Source organism: Homo sapiens, chromosome 4 (genome assembly GCF_000001405.40).
Source record: "Homo sapiens chromosome 4, GRCh38.p14 Primary Assembly".
Lineage (NCBI taxonomy): Eukaryota > Metazoa > Chordata > Mammalia > Primates > Hominidae > Homo > Homo sapiens.
Window position 1 is genome coordinate 144,625,788 of NC_000004.12, and position 15,068 is coordinate 144,640,855.

At 36.3% G+C, this 15,068-nt stretch overlaps 1 annotated feature.

Annotated features, from left to right (window-relative positions):
• Nucleotides 9,509-9,568: an enhancer, noted in NCBI's record as "active region_21958". NCBI's record gives its function as "activates an Ori minimal core promoter by ATAC-STARR-seq in GM12878 lymphoblastoid cells {active_cell/tissue: GM12878}" and the evidence as "EXISTENCE:reporter gene assay evidence [ECO:0000049][PMID:35858748]".

Consider the following 15,068-nt stretch of genomic DNA (forward strand, 5'->3'; position numbering starts at 1 on the left):
TGTATTCCCAGCTACTCGGGGAGCTGAGGCAAAAGAATCACTTGAACCTGGGAGGTGGAGGTTGCAATGAGACGAGATCGCACCACTGCACTCCAGCCTGCGTGGCAGAGCAAGACTCCATCTCAATAAATAAATAAATAAAAATAGAGACACACAGAAGTAGGTGAGATTGTCTAGACAGGGGAAAGTGTAAATGAGGAGAAGGAATGACCCTGGGCAGGATTTAAAGGAATGACAACACTTAAAAGTTTAATAGAGAAGGAAAATCTAGCTAAGAAGATTGAGAGCAAACAAAAGAAAAATGGAATCCTGAAGCATGTCCTGACGTGAAAAAAAAAAAAAAAAGGAAAACAATACTTTTAAAGAAGACTGGAAAATTTTGTTGAGGCTGCTGAGTGGTTAAGTAAGATAAGGACTGAAAAGTGTTATTTGGCTATAGTAACTGGATATAGTTATAATTGGTGAGATTAGCAGGGACCATTTCAGTGGAGCACTGGAGATGAAAATCAGAATGCAGTGGGTTGAGAAGACAGCAGAAAGTAGGTTAAAAGTGATAGTGTACAGAACTCTTTCAACAAGTCAGGCTGAGAAATGGAGGAGAAAGATAAGAATATAGCTACACAGAGGGACATAGAGTCAATAAATGGTTTAAATATTTACATACTTAAATGTTGATGAGAAAGATCCCATGAAGAGAAAGAGGTTGAAACTAGAGGTTAAAGTAGGGATGAGATTCAGGTGGAGGAAATGACTTCTTATAGGAAACAGAGCCCTTAACTGGTGACAGTAGTGCCATCTGAGTTTAGATGCAGAGGAGGAGGGTATCTGGGCTCATCTAGAGTTGGGGGCTATCCAAGTAAATGCAGCTGACAAAGGGTCAAGGGTGCTAGAGTGTTAGCAAGACTGCAATTGAAATACGGATGCAAAAAATCAAATATATGAAGGACAAGGACAGGAGGAGACTGGTATATCAGTAGAGAGAAGAGAGATCAATGGCCTGGAGAACCAAATGAGTTAGAAAGACAGACATGGCAGAAATAGTAAAGCAGGAAGCCTTGAAGTGTAGGAGGATGTGGCAGATATTAGCCTAGCCCCACATTGCCAACCTCCTGGTGTTCAGGTCTTTGTGGGATCCTATTCCCTCCCCAGACCAGAGGTGATGATAAAGCACCAGGTTATCTCAGTAATAAGTGGATAAGGTGAAGTGAAGGAAGGAGACAGTGGGAATGGGGAGAACAACTTAGAGAACCTATGACTTGCTTCTAACCAACTAAATACAGCAAAGGAGATGGAATATGCCCGATTATGTGCACCTGATTACGTTATGTAAGCCTGTAAATGCTGTCTTCTCTCCCTTGCTGGCTTTGAAGAAGCAAGCTGCCATATTGCGCACTTGACTATGTCATGGGCCATGTGACAAGCAACTGAAGATGCTCTCTGGACAGCAGCCAACAAGAAATGGAGGCTTTCAGTCCAACAGCCTGCAAGAGACTGAATGCTGCTAACAACATGAATCCTGAAGCATGTCTTGACATGAAAAAAAGGGAAAAGAATATTATTTTAAAAGAGTGGAGAAAGTTATAGTTGCTAAGTGGTTAAGCAAGCCAAGGACTGAAAAGTGTTACTTGGATATAGTAACTGTATATAGTAATCATTGGTGAGCTTAGCAGGGACCATTTCAGTGGAACACTGGAGTTGAAAACCAGAATGGAGTGAGTTGAGAAGCCAGTGGAAGGGGGTCCTTCCTCAGTCTAGCCTTCATTGAGACTGATGCCCCAGCCAGCATCTTGATAGCAGCACTGAAAGACCCTGAAGCCAAGCCTGTACTTCTAATCCATAGATACTATGAGATAATAAATGTGTTTTGTTTTAAGCTGCTGACTTTGTGATAATATGGTTACAAAGCATATATAACTAATGCAGAGGATGTCATCAGAGATAGGAATGTCAGACCAGAAGTGATGACAAGCACTGGGTTATCTCAGTAGTAGGTTGATAAGGTGAAGTGAAGGAAGGAAACAGTGAGAATGAGAACGACTTAGAGAATCATGTTTTGTTTGTGTTCCATAATGACTAAGAAGTTATATATGCAATGAACTTCAGACTTTGAAGACATATGATTAAACAAAAGGTATTATTGAGAGAACTGTTGGCAGCACACATACGGAAGGATGTGGTATTTTACTGATAATCAAAAAATGAACACAATAATAGGATATCTGTGTCTAGGATAAAACAATAATCACAGCCCAGTCTTTTGGAAGCCTCAATGCAGTTACTGAGCTTGGTCATTTGACATGTCTGTGTTTGTACATAACTCTGTGACTTACCAACTATGTGACTATGGGAAATTTTCTTCACTGAGTTTTTGTTTCTTATGTATAAAATGTATATATTAAAGTAGGGTTGTTATGATGATTAAATGAGATAATAGATGGAGAACACTTGTCACTGCACATGGCATAAAGTAAGGCTTAAATATAACTCTTTCTACCAGCTTTTCACAGAAGAAACTCCTACTTCACACACACACATATAAATTGATCAAATGAATTCAAAAACTAGAAAATATCACATAAGAGGTCAAAGAAAGATCTTAGAAGAATCTATTTCTAAAAAGTCGTCCAGGCCAGGCACGGTGGCTCACATCTGTAATCCCAGCACTTTGGGAGGCCAAGGCAGGTGGATTGCTTGAGGTTAGGAGTTCAAGACCAGCCTGACCAACATGGTGAAACCCCGTCTCTACTAAAAATACAAAAATTAGCCAGGTGTAGTGGCACATGCCTTTAATCTCAGCTACTCAGGAGGCTGAGGCAGGAGAATTGCTTGAACCCGGGAGGCAGAGGTTGCAGTGAGCCAAGATCATGCCACTGAACTACAGCCTAGGAGACACAGCGAGACTCCAACTCAAAAAACAACAACAACAACAAAAACAAACAAACAAACACCTAATCCATCCAGATAGGTAGAATACCACACAAAAAAATTGATAAATTAATTATGTCCCAGAAGGGAAGAAGGAGGAAAAGCCCATTTTTAAAAAGAAATGAGGTAAGGCTTGATTACAGACTTACAGAATGTAACACTAACTTTCAGAAATATGATCTCATTTTCCCCTGAGGAGATACTAAATCAGCATCCATACCTCACAAAAGCAACACACTTTTAAACCCTTCTTTTTCTAACTGTGAGTAAAGACTTTATTTCAGAACTATGTTGTACCTCCAGATGCAGTGCTAGCTTTCGACTGGCCTCATATACAGTGCTTGTCACTTTTTCAAGATGAAAGTAAAGCCATTCTTCCTCAGGTGCTTATTAATCATCATAAGCTATCGTTTAAAAGCAATAAACAATGCACACATGGTGATTAGCATAGGATTATTTTTCATAAGAAAATAAAGTCTGGCTCAATATGTTTTGGATTCACACTCACAAGGAAAACCCACCATGTAATTCTCCATCTCTTTACCAAGGAGAAAGAAAGATCACCTGTTTTGAAGGGCACACAATCCTGATATTTAGATTAATTTATGCTTAGAACTATCCAAAGAAATTTCAAGAACTGGTTATGTTTGCGAATATATTTTTTGGATATTTTAAATAGAAAAATCACATTTTATGTAAGATAAAAAATCAAAGCACCAAAAGGTTAAATTTCATGGAACCTCTGGTCTTATGAAATACAAATAGTTCTTAAAGTATAAAAGCTTTCTCTTATATCCAACATTTATTCTAATTTTTTGCATATAAAAGTATCCGTAATGTGTACCAAATGCCCAGGTGTTTACAACTATTAATAAATGAAAATGTTTGTAGAACTTCATGCCTTTGGGCAGGACATAAAATTTAGAATACTTTCAACAAAAACCTGAAGAATTTCTTCATAAGTAAATCACATTCGGAAAATAAAACAAAACATACAATTCACAAATTTTAGAAAAAGACGGAATTTGCAATCATGCTCCACACCACACAAATAATTTTTAACTATGTCACATGCTATTAAATCAGATATTGTTGCCTTAGTTTTAATAATGTCTTTGGTCCAAAAATTGACATAAGTTTTTGTTTCAGTCTGTCAGAACATTTTTTCAGAAATGTATCTGTCCCCTTCTAGACTGCATGACCAAAAAAATTGTTGCAAATACACATTTTAAACTAGGTTTAGACGTTTTTATAACACGGCATTTTTCCAAGATAATTATTTATAAGATAAGGAATGCTTTAAATGGTTGATAATATTTAAATTATCATATATTTAGGTTTGATCTAACTATATATTTTTGAAAATATGAAATAAAGTTATCCTTCAAATTTTTTAAAAAATGTTTTACCAAATTGTCTAACTGACTAAATTGTACACAACTTAGTATTGTTGAGGATTGGTTCTGTGTCTTGATTAAGGTAGCCTGTTTTGAATAAATGTCTTAGTATTTTTACACTACTCTTGAGTTAAAAACAGAGCAGGTTTTCATTTAGTCATTAGCAAATATTCATTTGCGTATTTTGTTTTAGTGGCTTAGTTGCCAAACATTTAGCTAAATGATAAATAGACACTCATTGAAGAGTTAAACTTTCCAACAGGGTGGTCTTGATATGAGTCAAAGCCAGGAAGTTAATTCTTACTTTCCAAAACACCTAATGCACACAAAAGTAATTAATTCGATAGCTGTGTAGGCTTTCAATTCTGTGAATTTATAATGTCTTCCATATTTTATTGTTTACATAGTTAAGGTATTATACTTCCTTATAACATTTACATAGAGTTGAGATACAAATAAGTTAATTTAATTGATGTAATCATTAATTACTGAATCATCTCAGTTGTGATCGTTCTGTTTTATGAGGTAATTTCACGATGTAGAGACTGTTTTCCATTATTTTATAATTAAGTACCATTTCTGCACACCCTCTCCTCCCATTAGCTCACCGTTGAAATTCCATGGAAGGAAAATGTATTAATAAATTACACCACTTGCAGCTGATTCAGGTATTACAGAAAATTGACGCTTACTAAAGAAATACTATAAAAATAACAGTTAAGCCATTACCACTAAATAAAGCTATGCTTTAACTGAGTTTGGTTTGACAAGATGCAATTCCAAGAGACATAACTTTCAGGCATCATAAGAAATCTACATGAGACTCCTGTTGCAGGCATCCAGGGATCTCCATCTCAATTCTGTCCTTATTACACTGACTCCAGTCAATGTGCAGAGAGCAAATCAGTGAATTGAGGATGTCCAGTGGGGTGTTAACAAAGTTATGGAGATTCAAAAACACATATAGGATACAGGGCTGGCAGCACCAAAGAGGCTATGGGGATGGCGGTAGATTACAGAGCCTACAGCTGTAGCCAGATGTAGTGAATGCTGCAGATAGATTATTCCATCATGATTCAGACATGATAAAGTACCAATTGTAGACATTTAGTAAATGTAGATGCCATCTGCTAAGTGCTGCTGCTCCTAAAGATTTTAAATCTAGCAACAAAATTTTATCCAATGGAATTAAAAAGTAAATATAATATGTAAAGTACAAACAATAAGACATAATTAATACATAGTCCTTAATATCTGTTTTATAATGAATTAATTATATAGTAAAATAGTTACAATGACTCATGAATAACTTAAATATAAATTGAATAGATTTAAAACAATTATGAAATTATGATTATTTAATATGAATTAAACTGTAATTAATATATCTGCATAGTAACTTTAAGAGAAAATGTCATGGGAATGAAGCTTGAAAAGATGATACAACCTAAGCAAACAATGCACCTTTTTTGGCAAATTTACAATTAATGCATTTTAAATAAAACTTTGCCAAAATTAACTCCTCCCTTTTCCAATATCCATCCCCAAAGTTCCTTGCTCTGGAGTCAATACTCTGGGGCATGGTCTTAAGCATGTCACGTTGCTATTGTTGATGGGGCCAAAGACCTCTCCAGGTGCTCCATTCTTGAGGGCTTAGATGTCATCTCCATAAAAATAATTCTGCCATCTGCCTGTATGTCAGCAACTTACTTCTCATTCCCATAAAGGCTCAACCAATATTTTGCAACTTCCCTACTTTAAGAAGAATTCTATTTCAGAAAAATTTAAGCACTTATAAATGTAAAGTGAATAATAGACAGGTCAGCAGGGGTCAGATGATAAAAGCTCATATATTTTTCCTATAGAATCTGGACTTTTTTCTTAATTGACTATGAATTCGTTGAATAATTTTATGCAGGAGAAGCATATGAAATGAGTCGTGGTATACAAAAATTCATTTAGTGGCACTAGGCATAATGGAGTAGAGTTGAAGGAAATAAATTATAGGCTTGGAAAGCTTAGGGAGATGTTATAGTAACGCTGATAAGAAATGATAGGCCCCTAACATATAATGGACCTAGACAATGATCATGAATAGCTGTTGAACCCTTTAGATAGATGATTATAGAAATTTTTTAAGTGAATGGATTAGTATAATAATGCTTAAAGTCATTGAAAAGTCTTATTCTTACAATGAGAGAAATAGCCATACATTATATGTTCCCAAATATGATGAAATAGAAACCACTTATGGAATATTCTTGCAAAAATTCTATTCAAACCTCTAGAACTAAATATGAGTTTACAGAAAATACAGAGATACAGAAACTGGCTTAAAGATATTAGGACAATACAATCAAATAAATCTGCAATGTTTAGAGAGATCCTACAGAACAAACGACCTGATTTCTTCAGTAAATAAATGGGAAAGAAAAACAAAAAGGGGCTGAGTGTGGTGGCTTACTCCTGTAAATCCCAGCACTTTGGGAAAACAAGGTGGGCAGACCACTTGAGCTCAGGAGTTCCAGACCAGCCTGGCCAACATGGAGAAACCCCATCTTTACTAAAAATACAAAATTTAGCCAGGCATTGTGGCATGGCACGCATCTGTAATCCCAGGTGCTCGGGAGGCTGAGGCACGAGAATTGCTTGAACCCAGGAGGTAGAGGTTGCAACGAGCCAAGCTCATGCCACTGCACTCCAGCCTGGGCGACAGACTGAGATTCTGTCTAAAAAATAAATAAATAAATAATAAAAAAATTTAAAAAATTAAAAATTTTAAAAAAGGAGGAACCTCTCTAAACTAAAGAAGAATCAGTAAAGTTATGTCAACCAAATGCATTGCATGGATCTTGCTTAGTTCCAGATTTGAACGGACCTATTATAAATATATGTGACAATCAAGAAAATGTAGTGGACATATTAATATATTTCATAGTGGACACGAGAATAAATTATTAAGGAATTTTGTTCCTATGTTTTAAGAATTTTTTCCTTTTAGAAATGCATACGTTTTACCGAGGAAATGATATAGCATCCAGTACTTATTTTAATATAATCCAGTGGAGGGATGAAATAGAGAGGAATATACATTAAATTAGATTAGCCAAATGTTGGTAATTGATGAAGCGGAGCCACAGTTGTATTTTACTGTGTTTAAAATTTTCTATAGTGAAAAATTTAAAATGTTTGTTAAAGAAGCAATAGCTGAGAGGATGGAAAGAAGTATATAATTTTGAGCAATATTTAAGAGGTACTATGCACAAGACATAACGGCCAATTGTATCTAAAAGAGGAAGTGAGGATGGCTCATAAATTTTTAGACTTGTGATTAGAAGTATGAACGTACTGGCCAGGTGCAGTGGCTCATGCCTGTAATCCTAGCACTTTGGGAGACAGAAGCAGGTGGATCACCTGAGGTCAGGAGTTCGAGACTAGCCTGGCCAACATAGCGAAACCCCATCTCTATTAAAAATACAAAAATTAGCGGGACATAGTGGTGGATGCCTGTAGTTCCAGCTACTCGGGGACTGGGCAGGAGAATCGCTTGAACCTGGGAGATGGAGGTTGCAGTGAGCCGAAATCGTGCCACTGCACTCCAGCCTGGGAGACAGAAAGAGACTCTATCTCAAAAAAAAAAAAAAAAAAGTACTAATGTACTGTTCATCGAGACAGAAAGTACATGTGGAGGAGCAGATTTAGAAATAAAGATGACCAGTTCAGTTTGGGATTGCGGAGTTTGAAATACTAGCTGGATATCCAAGCAAAAATGTCCAAAGATAATATCAAGAAGAGCCAAGGATAGAAATTAGGGGTACATAAACATGTAAAAGAGATGTAGAGAGGAAGTGAAGGCTGAGGAGTTGTATCCAGATAAATAGGAAACCCAGTTGAGACTGGAGTTACTGAAACAGGAGAAGACATAGTTTCAGGGAAAGGAATTTGTCACAGTGTCAATTAAATAATTAAATGTTAGTTACTATATATCTTTAGTTTTAGCAACTAAATAGCAAGTGGTGTCAGTTCAAGACGGCAAACTGAGCCTATAAATTTATCCCATCTTTTTCCTGGGATTCCACTAAAATAATATTCAGTAGTCCTCCCTTATTCAAGATTTTGCTTTCCATGGCTTCAGTTACCTGTGGTCAAACTCAGCCCAAAAATACTAAATCAAACATTCCAGAAATAAACAATTTGTGAGCTTTAAATGGCATGCCATCCTGAGTAGTGTGATGAATTCTCATGCTGTCCATTCTGTCCCACTTGGGATGTGATTCATTCCTTTATCCAGTATATTCACACTAAATACTCTACCCACCCCTTAGTCACTTAGTAGGCATCTCAGTTATAAGATGAGATGGGATGATGCTTATTTTACTTAATAGTAGTCCCAAAGTGCAAGAAGAGTGGTACTGACCATTTGGACATGCCAGAGAGAGGCCTGAAAGTGCTTTTTTGAAGCAAAAAGTGAAAGTCCTCTACTTAAGGAAAAAGTCTTAGGCTGAGGTTGCTAAGCTCTATAGTAAAAACAAATCTATTTGTGAAATTGTGAAGAATGAAAAACAAATTTGTGCTAGTTTTACTGTTGCACCTCAAACTGCAAAAGTTATAGCCATAGTGCTTTCATCTTAGATTTAAGATGAAAAGGACATTAAATTTGTGGGTAAAAGACATGAATAGGAATGTGTTTCAATTGATAGCAATCATCCACTGGCGGTCCTGAAACATAGCCCCAAGGTTAAGGAAGGATTACTGCATACCAATTTAAAAGGGCAGAGGCAAACACAGAGCTGTGAAAAGAACAATAAGAAGTTTATCAGTGGATAAACTAGTTCAACACATTTCTAGAAAGTGGAAAACTAGTGGAAGAGTGGAGCTCAATAAAGCAGACTGGGAAAAGATGCAGTCCAGAATAAATATGGAGAAGCTGCAGCCAAGGCGGGAGCCATTCTGTCTTTCAGAACCTGGGGGAGGTTATAGACTCAAGGATACCAGGTGTGATGGGCAGCAGAGTACAGCATAAGACTAAAAACAGAAACAGTTACTGAAAGTCTGCTACTGATTTCCCTTCCTTATATTCAGAATACACAGCAGCCAGGTGTTACCCTCTAGGCAAAAAAAAATAGAAAGGGTTGTGTGTTTTCAAAATAAATTTAACACGCTGTACAAAATGAGTAACTGTGGATGTTGAAGTACCAGAAAAAAAAAAAAAACATTCTGAGAGTCATGGTTCCCCAGGGTAATGGCAGAGTAGGGAAGAAGGCACGGTCACGGGTCTGGAAACAAAAGGTGATAGACAGAACTAAAAGGTTTAGATATGAGACAGGGAAATGTAGTTAGGATTACCATTCATAATAAAGAGCAAAAATGGAAAAAGACTGAAATAAACTCCCACCAACTACTTTGTGACACTGTAGATTACATAAAGTGATAGGCCCACAGAAACAGGAAGACATGAACAGAGGCTGATAATAAAATATTGAAATGAATCACCCACTGGCTTGGTAACTGGGCGTGCTATACCCTGTATTTATTAAAGTAATTGAATTGGTTATTGAAAAACTTCCTATATGCACGAATAAAAAGATCTAAGACTCCTGCTTCTAGTCAAGATGGAATAAGAGGGATCAGATTAATCAACCCCCTGAAACTACTAAATAGTTAATATTATGATATTTTAACAATGGGAATTAACACTGAACAAATTTTTTAGGCATTGCATATCAAATAAGTAAGCAGAGGACACTGACCCCTGAGAGAGGGAAAACAAACAAGGTAAGCCCTATGTCTGTCCCAGTTTACTGCCCAGACAGATTTTCTAGGCAGCAATGCAGGGAGGGGGAATTGAGAGAGAGCTAAGCATTAACTTTGAACTGAAGAGACAGACATGGGGTCTAGAGAGGCCAAGGGAACTGGTGTTAAGAAAGCAGAGTACTAGAGAGGAGCCAGCTGCACACAGAAAGCTATGGAGATCCACAGAGGGATACCCTCCAATTCTTTAGCTGTGTATTCAGCACAGAATGCATATTGGGAAATTACTAGAGAAAAGGGAAGAACCACTTGAAAGAAGTAGGTCCTTAGAGCTCACATAGGCCTAAGAATAGTTGGTGTTACAAGAGCCAGAGGAGAACACCTCATAATTCAAGGAAAATCAGGTAGTGTCCATTTTTTTCTAGGCAAACTTAGAATAGTATTGTCTTAGTAGTGGAGAAAATAAGATTTAGAATGGAGGTGGTTCTGGTTTCACCTAACAAAGTTTAACAGCAGGCTTGAAAAGATCAAACTATTACTAAGTAATTTAACTGTACTTCAGAGCAAAACTCAAGAATATTTATAGAACTATAATGCCAAGCATCCAACAAAGTAAATGTCACAGTATTTATAATCTGTCTTAGTTTGGGCTGCTAAAATAAATTACCATAGACTGGTGGGTTAAATAACAAATATTTATTTTTCGCAGCTCTGGAAGGTGGGATGTCAGAGATTAGGGTGCCAACATGGTTAAGTTCCGGTAAGAGCCGTCTTCCAGGTTGCAGATGGCCAACTTCTCCAAGTATCTTCACATGGCAGAAAAAAGTGAGAGAGCTCTCTGGAGTCTCTTCAGTAAGGGCACCAATCTCATCTATGAAGGCTCCACTTCCATGCAGAAACTACCTACCAAAGGTCTCACCTCCTAATACTATCGCATTAGGAATTAGGATTTCAACATCTGAAGTTTGTGAGGACACAAACACTTTGTCTAAAACCAAAATCTAATAAAAATTATCAGGCATGCAAAAAAGCAGGAAAATATGAGCTGTAAAAGAGACAAAAATCAACAAAATCAGTTCCAGAACTGACACACGTAACAACATCAATACACAAGGACATTAAGATAGGTATTAAAACTGTCTATTCCCTATGCTCAAAAATGTGCAAGAATGTAGAGAAAGATGAATCAGGCAAAGAACAGACTGAAGAGACTTTAAAAGACTCAAATCAAAATTTAGAGATAAAAATGCAATGCTTAAAATTAAAAAAAATACATTTGATGAGGTAAACAGAAGATTAGACATTTAGAATTACCTAAATGTCTAAAAGATACAGAAATTATCTAAAATGAGACACAAAGAATAAAGGCTAAAAAAATAAATGAACAGAGCTTCAGTGAGCTGTTGAACAACTTCAAGTGGCCTAATATATATACAGAGTCCTTGAAAGATGGGGAGGAGGAAAACACTGAAGATATAATAACCAAAAAAATTAGATGAACTCTATAAACCTACAGATCCAAGAATAACCTCAAGCACAAGAATATGAAGAAAACTACACCAAGGTATATTAGAATCAAATGGCTTAAAGATATTGATAAAGGAAAAATATGAAAAGCAATCAGAGAAAAAAGACACATTATATACAGAGGAACAAAATAAGAATGAGGGTAATTTCTCACTGGAAAAATGTAATTAAGAAGATAATAGAGCAACATCTATAAATACTGAAGGGAAAAAAACAATCTGTCAACCTAAAATTCTATACCCGGAAAAACTGTCTCTCAAAAACAAAGGTTAAAAAAAAAAAGACTTTTTCCGATATACAAAAGCTGAGAATAAAACTATCACCAGCAGACCCTTACTACAAGAACTGTTAACGCATGTTCTTCAGGCAGAAGAAAAATCATATCAGATAGAAGTTTGGATTTACACTAAAAAACAAATAGCAGTAGAGACTTTTTCTGATATACAAAAGCTGAAAATATAACTATCACCACCAGATCCTTACTACAAGAACTGTTAACACATGTTCTTCAAGCAGAAGAAAAATCTTATCAGATAGAAGTTTGGATTTACACTAAAAAATAAATAGCAGTAGAAACGGTAAATATATGGATAAATCTAAAAGACTTTTCTTATTTTAAAATCTCTCTAAAAGATAAATGTCTATCTAAATAAAAAATATTAATACCATACTGAAGTATATAACATACAGGTAACATATGTACAAAGGTTGGAAAGGAGAAATGAAAGTATATTGTTTTAAGGTTTTTATACATGAGGTGGTGTAATATTAACTGAACATATAATGTGACAAGTTAAACCCTAAAGTAACCACTAAAAAAAGAATATGAGGCAATAAGCCAATAACAGAAATAAAATGCAATAATAAAAAATGATGAACCCCAAAATAGGGAAAAGAGTAAAAAGGAAATAAACAATAGATAGGACAAATAGAAAACAAATAGTAAGGTAATGGATTTTAAACCCAACTGAACTACTAATTATATCAAATGTAAAGGGTTTAAACATCTTAATTAAAAGCCATAGGTTATCATATTGGCAAATATAAGCAAAACTCAATCCTATGCTGCTGTACTTTAAATAGACAGAAATAGGTTAAAAGTAAAAGGATGGGAAAAAATATATCATGTTAACATTAATCAAAAGAAAATAGGAGTGGTTATATTAATAATAGAATATTTTAGGACAAAAAATATTACTAGGAAGAAAGCAAGACATTTTATGATGACAGAAGGTTCAATTCATTAGGAAGACATAACAATCCTAAATGTTTATGTACCCAACAACAAAGCTTCAAATTACACAAAGCAAAAATTAATAGATCTGCAAGAAGAAACAGATAAACCCCTATTCAGAGATATAAATAACCTTTCAATAGTTAACAAACAAGTAGATAAAAAATAGAAAAGAAAACATAAGACTTGAACAATGCTATCTACTAAATTGACGTAATCACACTCTCATAGAACGCTCCACGCAAAAACAGCAGAGCATACATTCAACTGTACACAGAATATTTATCAAAATGGACCATTTTCCTGCCCAGAGAAAGTGCCAAAAATTTAAAAATTCTATGCATATGGAATATATTCACTAAAAACAATGGAATTGAGTTAGAATCAACAACCGAACGTCTTCAAAAATAAATCCCCAAGTCTTTGGTCACAGAAGAACTTAAAGGAGGGATTAGAAAGTGTTTTGAACTGAATGAAAATGAAAGCATGACATTTCAAAATTTCTGGAATGTGGCTAAAGCAGTATTAAGAGGAAAATACCTACATTAGAAAGAGAGAGAGACACCAAGACAGAAAGAGGTCTCAAATCACTGACCTCAGGTTTCATTTTAGGAAACTATCAAAATCAGAGCAAATTAAACCCAAAGTAAGCAGAAGAGAATAAACAATAAAGATCAGAGAGGAAATCAATTAAATTACAAAGAAAAACAATAAAGAAAATAAATAAAACCAAGAGCTGGTTCTTTGAAAAAAAATCAGTGAAATTGATAAACCTACAGTCAGATTGACGAAGAACTAAGAAAAAAAAGATGCAAATTACCACCAATATCAGGAATGAGATAAGTGACTTTATTACAGATTCTATAGAATAAAAGGATAACAAGGCAATCGTTATGAACGACTTTGTGCCAATAGATGAAATGGACAGATTCCTTGAAAAGTGGAGGCTACCACAGCTCACCATGCTGCTAACAGTTCACAGCTGTCCTATCTCCAGAGAATTGTTCTTGGCAGAATGGAACCTGCCTACCTGGGGATGCATGACCCCTAAGGGGAAAACCTGCAAATAATAACCCACTATTATAAGGGTTAAAAAAAATTAATCCCTCTACCCTTGTTTCAAGTTGGAACCAATTCTATGGTGCAATTCATGCTCCAGAGCCCCCTTGGAATTAGGCTGAAGATAGATCCCGCTTCCACCCTTATTTAGCTTCCTTCCCTGGCCATATTCTGCTGTTCTCAACCTCCTCTTCCTTAGTTCTTCTCAATGAATTACTTTCCAAGAATCCCTGTTTCAGCCTCTGTTTATAGAAAATCTTACCTAAGATAGGGCACTAGAGGGAGGCTAGAAGGCAAAAGAGAGAGAGAAAAGACTTGCTCCTTTCTCTTAGTTTGCAGTTCCTGGCTACATTACCCCAGCAATGAGCCCTTATCCTGTGTTATGGATTAAATTGTGTCCCGCAAAAGGATGTTAAAATCCTAATGCCCGGTACCTGTAAATATGACCTGATTTGGAAATAGTGTATTTGCTAATGATCAAGGTAACATGAGATCATTAGGGTGAAGTCTAATCCAATATGACTGGTGTCCTTATAAAAAGGAGAAATTTGGATGCAGAGATAGTCATGCATAGAGAACAGATATAGAGAGGTCACTACCTACAAACCAAGGAGAAAAACACTGGAGGCTGCCGGAAGCTAGGAGAGAAGCCCAGACACATTGTGCCTCATATCTCTAGGAGGAGCCAACCCTGCCAACATCTTAATTTCAGACTTCTAGCCTACAGAACTGAGATAATAAATTTCTGGGTTTTTGTTGTTGTTGTTTGAGATGGAGTTTCACTCTTGTTGCCCAGGCTGGAGTGCGATGGAGCGATCTCTGCTCACCGCAACCTCCGCCTCCCAGGTTCAAGCGTTCTCCTGCCTCAGCCTCCCAAGTAGCTGAGATTCAGACATGCGCCACCGCTCCCGGCTAATTTTGTATTTTTAGTAGAGACGGGGTTTTTCCATGTTGGTCAGGCTGGTCTCAAACTCCCGACCTCAGGTGATCCACCTACCTCGGCCTCCCAAAGTGCTGGGATTACAGGCATGAGCCACCCGGCCCGGCCGAATTTCTGTTGTTTTAAGCCACCTAGTTTTGTGGTACCTTGTTAAGGCAGTTCTAGGAAAGGAATATATCCTGTCAATAGCAACTGGTTTCAGCCTCCAATCTTCTTCCCGCACTGACATCATCAG